The sequence below is a fragment of the Homo sapiens genome, chromosome 2, assembly GCF_000001405.40.
Source record: "Homo sapiens chromosome 2, GRCh38.p14 Primary Assembly".
NCBI classification, from domain to species: domain Eukaryota; kingdom Metazoa; phylum Chordata; class Mammalia; order Primates; family Hominidae; genus Homo; species Homo sapiens.
In genome coordinates, this window is record NC_000002.12 from 232,181,859 (window position 1) to 232,197,646 (window position 15,788).

The 15,788-nt window shown below is 38.9% G+C and overlaps 1 protein-coding gene across 4 annotated transcripts in view; it reads left to right on the forward strand.

Moving 5' to 3' along the window:
* Window positions 1-15,788, forward strand: part of DIS3L2 (DIS3 like 3'-5' exoribonuclease 2) — a 382,638-nt gene that overhangs the window by 220,146 nt on the left and 146,704 nt on the right. The gene's annotated exons all lie outside the window — the stretch shown is intronic.

The following is a 15,788-nucleotide window of genomic DNA, read 5'->3' on the forward strand; positions in this document are numbered from 1 at the left end:
CCAGGTTGGTCTCGAGCGCCTGACCTCAGGTGATCTGCCCACCTCAGCCTCCCAAAGTGCTGGGATTACAGGCGTGAGCCACCGTGCCCGGGCGCCTGGCTAATTTTTGTATTTATTTGTAGAAGTGAGGTTTCATCATGTCACCTAGGGTGGTCTCGAGCTCCTGGATTACAGGCATTAGCCACTGTACTTTTTATAAAGGCATTTACAGCTACTCCCTCCCTACTTCCCTGATTGCTTTAGCTACATCCCATAAATTTTCATAGGTTGTATTTTGTTTTCATTTATATCTAAATATTTTAAAATTTCCTTTGAGATTTCTTCTTTGACGTATTTTTTATTTAGGAGTAGGTTGTTTAATTTCTACATACTTGTGAATTTCTCTAATTTCTTTATGCTATTAATTTCTAATTCCATTCTATTTTGGTCAGAGAACATACTTTGCATGATTTTAGTCCTTGTATATTTATTGAAACTTGTTATATGGTGTGGAGAATGTTCCATATCCACTTTAGAAGAATATGTTTTCTGCTGTTGTTGGATGGAGTGAGTGTTCTGTAGATATCTGTTAGATCTAATTGATTTATAGTTTTGTTTAAGCTTTCTATTTTCTTGTTTATCTTTTGTTTATTTTTTATCTCTGTTACTGGATGTTGTGTATTGATATATATTACAGTTGAATTCTACATTTCTCCCTTAAGTTCTGCCATTTTTTGCTTTGTGTATTTTGTGGCTTTGTTGTTAGATGCATGTGTGTTTATAATTGTTTCATTTTCTAGATGGATTGAGCCTATCATTGTTATAAAATATTATCCTTTGTCTTTAGTAACACTTTTTGCCTTGAATTCTATTTTGTCTGCTATTAGTTTGGCTACTCCAGCTCTCTTTTGTTACTGTTTGCATGACACCTGCACATGCATACACACACAGGCACACACACACATACAATTAAATACTATTAAATAGTAATATAATGTGGCAGCTCTGGAAATCATCTTGCCTCCCTTCATTTCCAAGGTTTGCTGTTATTGCTGTTTGTTCTTTCTGCTGTTCATTTTCTGACTTTTTTGAACTAAGTCTTTTGAGTCTATGCTGTGATCTGAATGTCTGTGTTCCCTCTAAGTTCGTAGGTTGAAACTCTAACCCCCAAATTATAGTTTAGGAAGGCAGTTAAGTCAAGGGTAGAGCCCTCATGAACGGGATTAGTGCCCTTATAAAAAGAAGCATGAGAAAGAAACCTCACCCCTTTCACCATGTGAGAACATAGTAAAAAGGTGCCATTCATGAGGAAGTGGGCCTTCATCAGATATTGATTCTGCTAGTTTCTTGATCTTGGACTTTCCACTCTCCAAAACTGTGAGAAATAAACGTTATAAGCTACCCAATTTATAGTATTTTGTTATAGCAACTCAAACAAACAGAGACAGTTTGTATTCTTTGTTATTTGAAGCTACTGAAATCTCTGCTTGGCTAGCTTAGTGGTCACCTAATGAATAAACAGAGATTTCCTTAAATATTTGAAAACAGTAAGTCTCTTAGCGTTTGTTAAGAGGCTCTGTGTCGACTAATACCTTTAATGCTTAGGCATGCACTTTACAACTCTGCCATAGCCTTCACTTCCTGCTGTTGCAGAGCTTCAGGGTCAGCCAGAAGTAAGAGTGTAAGACCCTTCTTAAGTCTTTCTTGGGCATGTGCACAGCCCTATGCATGAGTGTGACCATCTTTATCCCCAGGAATGTGTCAGACCTTTTCACAGCCCTTTATAGATGCCTCATTCTCCAGCTTTTCCTTTTAATGTTTTTGGTCAGTTCTTGTTGACCAGTACTTTAGCTCACTGTTATCACCATCTCAGATAGCTGCCATGTTAAATAAATACTGCTGAATGTTTTTGATGAACACCCCTGGGGCTATAAGGCTGTTTGCAGTGAACAAGGTTTGATGAAGGTCAAATTAAGCAAACCCGGTAAATGGGGGTTTTCAGGGAACTGCTGGATAGGTCAAATAATGACATTTCTCCTGTGATGCTGTTTTTAGGGTGCTGTAAACCTGTTCTTGCCACTCCAGTGACTGCTAGGCCACTGGTTTTCACCACGATTACAATGCTGTTGATTTTAAGGCTGGAGAGAGAGATAGAGCTGGAAAGGGGGATGTGGGAATATGGAAAGTAAACTTTGTAAGTAAAACTTTACAAAGTTCAGTGTCCTTGTTGATATTTAGCCATTTTTCTTGAGTAATTGCATCTCAGATTGTTAAAAGCCTGTGGTTAATTTCCAGAGTTACACTAAATTTGATTTTGACAGTTTTGTCCAGTGTTGTTGTTACTTATATGAAGTAGTAGCTTTTCAGAGGAGGCCTCTACTTTGCGAGTCCCACTGATGTGACTCTCAAGTCTTTTCACTTTTATTGCTTGAGTTGGAGATAAAAGAAGACAGTGTCCTGCAGAAAAGCTACAAGCTTTCCTGGGAAAATAACAGAAAGAGTGAAAGGAAGATAGAATTTGAAAATAAGGTCGGGTGCGTGGCTCATACCTGTAATCCCAGTACTTTGGGAGGTCCAGTACTTTGGGTGGATTGATTGAGTCCAGGAGTTCCAGACTAGCCTGGGCAACACAGCAAAACCCCATCTGTACAAAAATTACAAAAATTAGCTGGGCGTGGTGGCATGTGCCTGTAGTCCCACTACTAGGGAGGCTGAGGTGAGATAATCACTTGAGCCCAGGAGGTTGAGGGTGCAGTGAGCTGTGATCGCGCCACTGCACTCCAGCCTGGGAAACAGAACAAGACACTATCTCAAAAAAAGAAAGAAAAAGAAAAGAAGCATATAGTAGTCAGTAATTGTGTGGGCAAATTATTCCTAAGATTAGTAGTGTTGGGTAGCCTGACATTCGTATTAGGGCAGGTCAAAAATGAAATGGTCAACTCTGTTGATAATAGGAAAAGAGGAAAATAAATTTCTTAGCTTCTTATACAATATCCTGTTCTGCTTTCAGCCCTTCATCTTTCCTCAGTCTTGCTCTGTCATAGTTCTCTGTCTTACCTATGCCTTGCATTGTACTTCATCCATTTTCCAGGGCCCGTCTTGAATGCTGTGAATTTTTTGTCTTCTCACTCTAGAAGAATTAGCCTTGCCCTTCTCTGTTCTCCCGAGGCAGTCTGCTCACTTGCCATAATGTACCTAATTTACTTAAATATGACTCTGTCTCTCTGATGGGTAGCAAAGTTCTCATCAAGAGCAAGGACTGGGTGTTACTTTTCTGTTTCTAGGTGCTAACTCAGTACATGGCATCCAGACCCAAATAAAGTGATCATGGAATATTCACCAAGATAGACCATATCTTGAGTCATCAAACAAACTTCAGCTCATGTGAAAATGAAGTCATATAGGGTATGTTTTCTGACCATATGGAACTACAAACTAGAAATCCATAACAGGACAATAGTAAAATATCTAGACACTTGGAAATTAAACAACACACTTATAAATAATTCACTGGTTAAAGAGGAAATCTTAAAGGAAATTTTTAAAAAATATGTAGAACTGAATGAAAATGAAAGCACAACATATTAAAATATGTGAGATGTCGCTAAAGCAGTACCGAGGAAAATTTATAGCTCCAAGTGCTTACATTAAAAAGAAAAAAGATCTCAGCAGTGAGCTATGTTTTTACCTTAGGAATTTAGATAAAGAAGAGCAAGGCTGGGCATGGTGGCTTATGCCTGTAATCCCAGCACTTTGGAAGGCCTAGGCGGGTGGATCACTTGAGGCCAGGAGTTAGAGACCTGCCTGACCAACATGGTGAAACCTCGTCTCTACTAAAAAAATAAAAACAAAAAACCCCAAAATTAGCTGAGTGTGGTGGCTTGTGCCAGTAGTCCCAGCTACTCAGGAGGGTAAAGCAGGAGAATTGCTTGAACCTGGGAGGTAGAGGTTGCAGTGAGCCAAGATTGTGCCACTGCACTCCAGTCTGGGCAACAGAGTGAGACTTCGTCTCAAAAAAAAAAAAAAAAAGCACGATATGCCCAAAGTAAGCAGGAAGGAAGAAAATATAAAGATAAGCACTTAAGTCAATAAAATTGGAAATTGGAAAACGGTAGAGAAAATTGGTGAAACAAAAAGCTGGTTCTTTTTTTTTAAAACTTTGACTTAATTTTTAAAAGAGACAGGATCTCACTATGTTGCCCAGGCTGTTCTTGAACTCCTGGACTCAAGCAGTCCACCTGCCTCAGCCTCCCAAAGTGCTGGGATTATAGGCGTGAGCCACCATTCCCAGCCAAAAGCTTGTTCTTGAAAAAAATTAATAAAACTGATAAGCCTTTAGCGAGATTGATGGATAAACGGAAGACACACATCACATTAGAAGTGATATGGGACATCACTACAGATACTGCAGCCATTTAAAGGATAATAAGGAACATACAAATGGTTTTTCAAGAAGTTAATAATTCAACATCTTAGAAGAGATGAGTCAAAGACTACGAACTTTCATCATTCAACCATGTCACATAGACAATCTGAATAGTCACAAAACTATTAAAAATATTGAATTCATAATTTAAAAGCTCACAGAAAGGAAATCTTCAAGCCCAGATGGTTTCACTGGAGAATTCTAGAAAACATTTAAAGAAGAATTAACAGCAATTTTTACACAATCTTTGCTTGAAAATACAATAGGAGAGAACATTTCCCATCTGATTTTATGAAGCCTGATACCCAAACCAGACAGAGATCATATCACAAAGAAAACTGTGGACCAATATCCCTCCTGAGCTCAGATGCAGAAGTATTCAGCAAAATTTTAGCTAATCAAATCCAGCAATGTATAAAAAGAATTCTATTGCTATTACAGAAGTGTCTAAAAAAAAGTGTTCTAAACTATGACCTAGTATGATTTATTCCAGGCATTCAAGACTGGTTCAACATTCAAAACCAATTAATGTATCATGTGTACAAATTAATTTAAAGTGGATCGTAGACCTGAATGTAAGGGCTAAAACTAGAAATCTCTTAGGAGAAAACAAAAGAGTAAACCTTAGTGACCTTGGATTGGCCAAGGAAGAAGTGACAAAATAAAAAAATAGACAAATTGGACTTCATCAAAATTAAAAATTTTGTGCTTTGAAGGACACCATCAAGAAAGTGAAAGCATAACCCTCATGGGAAAAATTGTTTTGCAAATTATGTAGGTTAATATATCTAGAATACATAAAGAACTCCTACAACTTAACAATAAAAAAGACAATTTTAAAATGGGCAAGAATTTTAAGACACACAAATGGTCACTAAGCATATAAAAAAAAGCTCAGCATCATTGATCATTACAAAAATGCAAATCAAAACCACAATGAGATACCACTGTACATTCACTAGGATGGCTGTAATTTAAAAAAATACAGATAACAAGTGTTGGTGAGGATGTAGTGAAATTGGAACCCTCTTATACTGCTGGTGAGAATGTAAAATGGTGCAGCCATTTTGGAAAATAGTTTGGCAGCTCCTCAAAGGGTTAAACATAGAGTTACCATATGACCTAGCAATTTTACTCCTGGAGAATTGAAAACATAGCCACACAAAAACTTGTACATGAATTATTATTATTATTTTTTAAGGTGGAGTCTTGCTCTGTCATCAGGCTGGAGTGCAGTGGTGCGATCTCGGCTCACTGCAACCTCCGCCTCCCAGGTTCAAGCGATTCTCCTGCCTCAGCCTCCCAAGTAGCTGGGACTACAGGTGCGCGCCACCATGCCCAGCTATTTTTTGTATTTTTAGTAGAGACAGGGTTTCACCATGTTGGCCAGGATGGTCTCGATCTCTTGACCTCGTGATCTGCCCACCTCGGCCTCCCAAAGTGCTAGGATTACAGGCGTGAGCCACTGTGCCTGAATGTTTATATCAGCATTATTTAAAAAATGGAAACAGGCCAGGCTTAGTGGCTAAAGTGAGGCAGAGGGAGGAGGATTGCTTGAGGCCAGGAGATCGAGACCAGCCTGGGCAACATAATAAGATCCTTTCTTTATTTTTAAAAAGGCCCAGCACTTTGGAAGGCTGAGGCAGGCGGATCACTTCAGGTCAGGAGTTGGAGACCAGCCTGGCCAACATGGTGAAACTCCGTCTCTACCAAAAATACAAAAACAATTACCTGGGTCTGGTGGTGTGCGCCTGTAATCCCAGCTACTGTGGAAGCTGAGGTGGGAGAATCACTTGAACCTGGGAGGCGGAGGTTGCAATGAGCTGAGATCGCGCCATAGCCCTCCGGCCTGGGCGACAGAGCAAGACTCTGTCTCAAAAAAAAGTGGAGGGGGAGGGAGGGAAACAACCCAATCAACTGTTGAATGTATAAACAAAGTGTTTCCCCTCTGTGCAGAGAAGGGAAAACATGGAATGATTGCCATGGGTATGGAGTTTCTTTTCTTGGGTAATGAAAATATTCTAAAATTAGGTAGGGATAATGATTATACAACTCTGTACATATTCTAAAAACTTGTGAATTGTATGCTATAAAATGATAAATTTTATGTAACTTTTTTCTCAATAACAGAACAGAATAGAGAATCCAGAATTAGATCCACACAAATATGCCTGACTGATTTTTAACAGAGGAGCAAACGCAGTTCAATGTAGGAAGGATAGCCTTTCATAAAATGGCATTAGAGGAATTTGCCATACATAGGCAAATAAATGAACTTCGATCTAAACCTCATGCCTTATGCAAAAGTTAACTCAAAATGGGTCATGGGCTTAAGTATAAAATGTAAAAGTATAAAACTTAATAGAAATGAGCATAGAAGAGTACTTACAGGATGTAGGACTAGAGAAAGAGTTCTTAGACTTTGACATAGTACAGTCCACAGAAGAAGAGGTTGGTAAATTGGATCTCATCAGAATTAAAAACTTTCTGTCTATGAAAGATGCTGTTAAGAAAAGAAAAAGATGAGCTGCAGAAAATTCTTTCTGCAGCTGGGAGAAAATATTTGTAAACCACATATCCAACAAGAGACTAGTATCTAGAGTACGTAAAGAACCTTTAAAACCAAAGCAATCCAATTAGAAAATGGACAGAAGACATACACTGAAGAGGATATACAAATGGAAAACAAGCAAATTAAAAAATGTTTAACATCACGACCCATTCGAGAATGCAAATTAAATTCACAATATCAATACACATCAATCAGAACATCTAAAGTAAAATAATGAAAAGGCCAAATTGGCAAGAAGTTCTAAGCAATACCAAGTGCTGGCGAGGGTGCAGAGAAAGTGGATCACTCAAACGTTGCCGGTGGAAATGTAAAATGGCACAACCACTCTGGAAACACTTTGGCAGTTTCTTAAAAAACTAAACACAACCCGGTAATTGCACTCCTGGGCATTTATCCCAGAAAAATGAAAACCTACATTCTCAAAAAAACCTGTACATGAATTTCTATAGCAGTTTTACATAGAATAGCCCAAATACTAGAAACAGCCCAGATGTCCTTCAGCAGATGAATGGTTAAGCAAATTGTGGTACATCCATATTACTGAATGGTACTTGGCAACAAAAGAGTGAACTGTTGATATGCGCAACAGCTTGGATGGATCTTCAGTCTCAAGGGTTACATATGTACTGTATGATTCTATTTAATCTTTTTGAAAGTACAATTTTAAAAAGTCAGCTGAGTTTAAGATTCAGAAAAGGCAAATTTTAGAACCATAGAACAGATTCGTAGTTGCCAAGATTGAGGGAGGCAGGACAGGAAGAAATTGGGTGCAATTGAGGGATCCTTGAGACAATAGTAGTGTTCATTATCTTGATTGAGTGGTATTTACATGAACCTACATATGTAATAAAATTGTATAGAACTTATACACCCAAATGAGTATGAGTAAGTGAGAAATCTAAATAAGATTGGTGCATGGTATCAGTGTCAATATCCTGGTTTTGATATTGTACTACAGTTTTGTATGATTTTACCATTGGTAACTGGGTAAAGGGCACACAACATCTTTATTATTTCTTATACTTGCATTTTAATCTACAATTATCGCAACATAAAAGATTCTAAAAAATTTAAAAGGAACCAGATTAATAAAGATGGGAAAGTAATATAATGTGAGGCACTTGGAAACTTTGGAGCAGGTGAAGTTTGAACTCGGCTTTGAAGGAGGAATAGGATTTTAGTATGCTTTTGTCTTAATTTTTAAAAAGGGGCTGAGCACGGTGGCTCAACGCCTGTAATCTCAAAACTTTGGGAGACTGAGACAGGAAGATTGCTTGAATGCAGGAGTTCGAGACCAGCCTGGGCAACATGATGAGACCCTCATCTTTACAAAAAATTAAAAATAAAATTAGCCAGATGTGGTGGTGCATGCCTGTGGTTCCCAGCTACTCAGGAGGCTGAGATGGGAGGATCACCTGAGCCCAGAAGGTCAAGGCTGCAGTGAGCTTTGATCATGCCACTGCATTCCAGCCTGGGCAACAGAGTGAGACCCTGTCTCAAAATAGGAAAAGAGAAAGCAGTTAACATGGTTACCTCATGCTCCGAGAAAACCTCTCAGTTGGGGGATATGCCTACGTGGTCCTTGAATTGCGTCAGTAACTATAGACCAAGGTGAAATTCAGAAGACTGAGATTTTGCTTTAAAGAACATGAACGACACAATTTTTGGATTGGGAAAGATGAGTAAAATTTGGATATTTTGTGCTTAGGTTCTCAAAAGGAGATGAGATGAGAGAGAGAGAAAGAAGAGAGAGAGAGGAAGAGAGGAAGGAAGGAAGGAAGAAAGGAAGAAAGAAAGAGAAAGAAAGAGAGAAAGAAAGAAGGCAGGCCTGGCATTCAGGGAAGAAGTCTAGATTACAGATACCTGTTTAGGTGCCTGAAGGTAGTAGTTACAGGCACCAAAGTGAATGAGTATACATAGGGTGAGCATATAATCTGATGAGGGAAGAGGACCAAGGATAGACTGTGAAGAGCTCCAGAATGTAAAGGGTGGAAGGAAATTTCTTAGGAAAAGGTGGTGTTGGGGGCACAGAAAGGCAGATATTAGAAGAGTTAAAGAAAAGACAAAGGCAAAGTTGGTGACAAGTTCCAAACAAGGGTGAGTTACCCTGTGCTCTGCTGCAGTGAGGTCAGCTGGGACAAAGCTAGAACAGAAGTCACTGTGTTTAGCCATGAAGCTCTTTTCTTTGTCCTTTGGATATCTCAAGAGTCATGTCAGTGCAGTGAGTGGAGCGAAAGCCAGATTATAGTCAACTGAGGAGGTGAAAAAGTGGGGATCCTAAACGTAAACATCTCTTTTAAGGAGGTTTGCTTTGCAGAGGAAGTGAGAGGGAGCTTGAAAGAAGCAGGGTCCTGAAGATATTTGTGCAAATTGGAGAGATTTGAGCTTGCTGGCAAGTGGTGGGTGAGGAGCCAGTGGGCGACATACACATTTTTGGACTCCTTTTTGGAAATTGCCTTCAGAGCCTGAGGCACATTTTCAACAATGGGAAATCTTCATCTTTCGAGGGTGGATTTAATTTTTGGAAGCAGCCAAGTTAATTCAGAGCCAAGGGTGGTAAATCAGGTGGGTGATCAAGCTGGATAACACAACTTCAAAAAAAATTATAATTATAAAGTAGTAACACTGATTTTCTTGTGAAGCTCATGAATTGGCTTAGAAAGTAATCCTTAAAAAATCACAAGAACCATTTGAGCAGTTGTAGCATTCTCTGAATAGTAGGTGTATGGATTTGTAACTTTGAGGACACTCATTTGTGTGGAAGTTCTATTATATATGAAGAAATTGGCCTAGTTACATTGTGTTTACTCCTAGTGCTCAAATGTAAAGTTGCCATGTAGTCTTTTTGCCTGAGAGGTGACTTAGTGGAGTTATAAGTTTATATATGGGAGAATCAAGAGTTTCAAATTGTGATTGTTTAAACAGTTCTGTGGTCTTACAGATGTAATTAGAATTCCTAGGATAGGAGTGTTCCCACAAGCATAACAGTACTTTAAATGTGTGTTCAGTTATCCCTTTCTATAGTCATATTTCATCGTTTCTTTTTGAAATAGAGTTATTTTGAAAATATTAAGTCGCTACTCTAATCTTGAATGTCTGTCAGACCTGAGACAGAGCTGGGCACATAGTAGGCACTCACCGAACATCCCTCTCCTGTCTTCTCTACCCTAGTGTTTGTTATATACCAGGGGTCACACTAAGAGAAAAATCAGTTCATAGCTAGTAGATCATCTTCCATGGTGTTTGGCCAAAAATATCCAGCATAAAGAAAACAAATGTGTACAGAAGTTTGATGTTTTTACTTATCTTTTTGTTAATGGGGTATATATTTATATACCAAAAGATATTTTTGAAGGCTTATGTTATACCTTTATATACATACTTATCATCTCCTTTAATCATTGAAATAACCTTGTGAAACTTGTCCTTATTTTTCAGATAAAGAAACTGTGGCTCTGAGTAGTAATCTCTTGCCTGAGGTCACATGACTGAGGGGGAAGAACTGGGACTTGATTTCAGGTCTGCAGTTTTGGAATCTCTAACTCACGGTCCTCATATGTCTCCACCTTCTTAAACCTATGCCCTTAATTTTAAAAAAAAGTTGATTAAAAAAATAAATCAGAAGCACTTCATACTTCCCCCTTCCTCATACTGAGAAAATAGAAGTTAGAGCCTGTCTTCTTTAAGCTCCTACTGGCTAAAAGACTTGATAGCATTGTACTTTATGTCATTCTAATTACCAAAGCAATAGTTTTTAAACTTCTAGAAAGTCGCGGCACCCTCCCTCTGCCTCCCCACACCTGGAGCTCTCTGAGCTCCCCCAGGGGACAGTGTGGAAGTGGTGACTGTAATGTCCTGTCGTAGCTTTCGATAATGATAAAGTGTTAGAGAAAGCCAGGACGAGTTAGCCATTCTAGGAAACTTTCCACAGCTGTTGCATTAATTAAGACTTTTTTGGTCCCAAGTAACAGAAACCACTGGAACTCACTTAAGCAGAAAGGGGAATTTGTTTTAAGGATGCTGTGGTGTCTCCCAGAATCCAAGGGCAGGGAACCAGGGACTGCAGTGAGGCAAGAAACCCAGAAAGACTTCTTTCTTCCTCTCTGCCTCTCCTACTTCACACACTGGCTTCCTTCCTCCCCTTTACTCAGACTAGCTCCTTTGCTTCCTCCTCCTTAGTGGGATGGCTGCTATCTACAGCTACCACGGTGCTCTCCGGGCCCATCCAACCAAAGGGAGACTGATTTCTCTTTCCTCCCTGCACACTCCTTCCTTGTTTCCCATCCTTTGTCCCAATTTCCAAATTCTAGGCAAGGATCAGATTATTCCGTTTTGACTTTACATGCTAGTTTGGGTGAGTGAATGTAAGGACAGACAACCTAATGTGACTAGCACAGTTGCATTCACTTCTACCTTTGGGAGTTTTAAATGCTGCTATCACAGGAGTGAAATACAAGAACACAGGTTTTAGAGGCAAATTCTGCCACTTACTAGGTATATAATCTTGGGCAAGTTTTAGCTCCTGTGAGCCCTACTTTCTTTAATAAAAGGGATATACAGATAATGTCTTTCTCATGAGGTTGTGGCAGAGTTTAATGTAATAACAGGTATAGTGCTTAGCACAGGGTCTAGCATACATTATGCTTGATAAAATATTGCCCCTTTATTTCTGATGATTATTAAGGCACATTGCCTTAACAAAAAGATGTTTAAGTCATATGAGGAGTAAAAATTTTAAACTGCCTTTTGGTTCAAATTTCTGCTTCCTCTTGCCTCTTTTATGTCCCCATTTCATCTATCATTGGGTATTAATATATTCATAATCCAAAGGACTTTGGTTCTAAGAAACCCCAAAATTCTCTAGGAAATAGTTGGAGGTCCCAAGGTATCACCCAAAGTAGTTTCACAAATAATGTTGGTACATAGACTATTAGGTGAAAAACATTCATGGCTCTACTAGCCTTTTTTTCCAGTGATTGGAGTTGGAAGACCCCAATTAAAGATTCAATTCACGGCGAGGCCCAGCAGTTTGGGAGGCCAAGGCAGGCGGATCACTTGAGACCAGGAGTTGAAGACCAGCCTGGCCAACACGGCAAAACCCTGTCTCTATTTAAAAATACAAAAATTAGCTGGGCGTGGTGGTGCTCGCCTGTAGTCCCAGCTACTTGGGAGGCTGAGGCATGAGAATTGCTTGAACCTGGGAAGCAGAGGTTGCAGTGAGCCGGGATCGTACCACTGAACTCCAGCCTGGGTGACAGAGTAAGACTCTGTCTCAAAAGAAAAAGAAAAAGAAAAAAGATTCAATTTAGTAAATATTTGTTATCTCTACTATATATATCTTAGTATATATTAATAGGAATGTATCTTGCAAATATTAATGTATATAGATATATATGCTGCTTCTATGTGTGTGTATATACATGCTAATATTTGCAAGATACTGAAATAGATATTGTTGGAATTAAAAATATGTATAATATATATTTACATAAATAATTAAGAGAAACAGTCCTTTCCTTTAAAAAGAGTAAAGTCTAGAAGAAAATACTGTGAATCTACAAAAATCATGAATTCAGGGTGTTTTGGCAGAACTGGTTTACCAAGGTCCCATGTTAATGAAGCTAAGTCACATTAAGTAAGAATGGAGAAATAGTTTGAAGCCAAATCATGGAGGATACTGGATGCCAAGCTGAGGATTATAGTTCAAAGATAGCTAGAAGCCAGTGAAGGTTTTTGAGAAGGAGAGTATAATGTAATTGTACGTTCTAAGAATTGACTTTGTCCTAATAGCCAAGTGGTAAAGGACTTGAAAGGCAGGAAAGAAAGAGAGGAGACTGGAGTCCATTTGAAGAGAGCTGCTTTAGTAGGAATGGAAAGTGGGCTTTATGAATTTAGCGCCAGTCCAGGGCTTGGTAAGGACTGGGCTGTGGGAGTTGGGCTGAGGTAGAGAGTGTGTGCTGGGTGACCCGCAACCTGGAAGCACAGGAGGAGGTGTAGGTTGCATGAGGGGTCACTTGGGACTCCTCTCCTGAAGTTGGTGGGAGTAGAGAAGTAGCACTCCATTCTTCACTATGTTCCAATTCTTGATTTGGAAACTCTCTGAAACAAACAGTTATTATGAGCATATTTTTGACCTAGAATCTAAGTATTTAATATTAAAATCAGCCAGGAAGTCATTTTCAGCCTGCTATTTAAAAACAAAACAAAAAACTATAGAACAAGCTCTGAATGATACAACAGAGTTTTGGCCCAAAATGAGTACTTAAAAGACATATAATTCTAAGCTTGGCTTTCTCCATTAATGAAAAGAAGGACATTCATACTTTCTTCTGTTAAAAATTACAAAGTCATACTCAATTTAATAATAGAATCCCCGATTATCCTGAAATACAGCTGAAATTTGTTTTGTTTTGTTTTTGAGACACTGTAACAGCCCAATGGGTTCTTCTTGCCCATTGCCCAGATAGAGCCAATTAGTCAAGACAGGGGAATTACAATAGAGAAAGAGTTTAATACATGTGGAGCTGGCTAAAACAGGTAGAGTTTTATTATTTCTCAAATCAGCCTCCCTGAAAATTCAGAGGCTAGGGTTTTTAAAAGATAGTTTGGTGGGCAGGGGCTAGGGAATGGGGAATGCTGGTTGGTTGGGTTGGGGATGAAATCATAGGGAGTTGAAGCTGTCCTCTTGTCTTGAGTCAGTTCCTGGGGTGGGGTGCGGTGGGGTGGGGTGGGGTAGGGGTGGTGGGTGGGGGTGCCACAAGACCAGGTGAGCCAGTTTACAGTTCTTTTTATTTTAAATAGAGATGGTGTCTTGCTGTGTTGCCTAGGCTGGTCTGGAATTCCTGGGCTCAAGCTGTTCTCCTGCATCAGCCTCCCAAAGTGCTAGGATTACAGGGATGAACCCCCACTCCCTGCCTTGAGCATGAGCCTTAGGTTTGATAATAATAATGTTATCCATAGGAGCAATTGAGAGGTGGGGAATCTTGTGGCTCCTGGCTGCATATCTCTTAAACCATTATTTTAAATCTTGCTAATTTATTAGTTTTATGAAGGCAGTCTAGTCCCCAGGCAAGGGGGGAGTTTGTTTTGGGGAGAGGCTTTTATCATCTTTGTTTTAAAGTTAAAGTATGAATTAAATTCCTCCTAAAGTTAGTTCAGCCTATGCCCAGGAATGAACAAGGGCAGCTTGGAGGTTAAAGGCAAGATGGAATCTGTTAGGTCAGATTCTTTTATTGTCAAACTTTTCTCACTATTAGAATTTTTATAATTATAAATTTTATACTATTATACAGGGTCTTGCTCTGTCACCCAGGTTGGAGTGCAGTGGTGCAGTCATAGCTCACTACAACCTTGAACTCCTGGGCTCAAGTGATCCTCCCTCCTTGGCCTCCAAGCACTGGGATTACAGGCGTGAACCAATGTGCCTGGCCTGGTATTTTAAACATATATTCATGTTATTATTCTTTATTTTCAGCAGCAAATTTATTTAATTGTTTGTATGGATCTTGTACACAAGTCACTTATCTCTCTAAACTGAGACTCTAGTAAATAATCTCAATATTTTATAAAACGGTGCCAGGCCTGTTAAGGCCTATTATGCATCATTTATGATGCTTCAACAATAGTATCTTTCCACATCATCATCTTAATAAAAAACATTCATTTTGAGAATACATTTTCCAGGCAGTTCCTTTGCCTCCAGGGGGAATATTTTGAGGCCTCCCAGTGACCATAGGATTAAAAGACTTGACAGGAAAGCCCTAGAATTCTTGAAGAGCAAGGCTTTTGAAAGATTCATTGTTGTGGACTCTCCCTTTGAAAGAGACCACTTTATCTTGCTCCTAAACATCTATAGGACAGACATAGCATTTTCTGAAAAGAAATTCTGGGTAATGTAGAAGAACAAATGTAGGTAGGTAATCTAGTATGGGTAGTGTGTAATGTGAAGAATGATAGTTCCATTTTTATGGTTGCCATAACAATCATACAGTTGTGCAAAAAATGTGTATAGCTTTTATAGAAGGGAGCTGGCACCATTGTAATGCTTCTTCTCATATCAGAACAACTGTTTTCAGATCTGAAAAATAGGGGTGGCTTAACCCTTCCCCAGTTAGCTCAGCATGTTCCCTGAGAAGTCTCTTTGGAGCTCCAGGGCTGTTGAAATGCATTCACCACTTGCATTTGCATTTTAGCCTGATAAATGGATTGAGAATTAAGGATGATGATCCTTTCAACAGCAGGTTCTGAATTCCTAACTTGGGAATTCAAAGGATGAGAAAAGAAATACATTGTTCCTCAAATAGAAATCTAGGAGAGATGTCTAGACATAGTAAATTCCTTGACTTTGTGACTCTTCTTAATTCTGTCCACTAGAATTTAAATCCATTAAATGCTGTCATTTACCCCACTGTGCTTAGTCTCAGATAAAGTCATATTAAAATTTGGTTACAATTTCTGTTTTATTTTTACATATTAACTATGTCACTTCTGGAAATCAAGAAGCAAATTTTAAGCGTAGTATATTTAAGTGAAAATATATTCACATATATTCTTTCTTTCACTATCGTTTTCCTATTTTTATATATCCTTTCCTAAGGAAAGTACTTGGTACTTGACTTTCTCAGTCATACTAAGGAGTATCTACTGTGAAGAAACTATATCAGAACTCTGGATGGAGATTTTCAGGTTGAGGATGGGAAGTTTTCAGGTTTGGATGGGGTACCTAAAATGAAGTCATTGTCAACCTAGTCAACCACAGAGAAACTTTTTCTTGTAGAGATTTGGGATAAGTTATTACTTTTGCCAAAATAC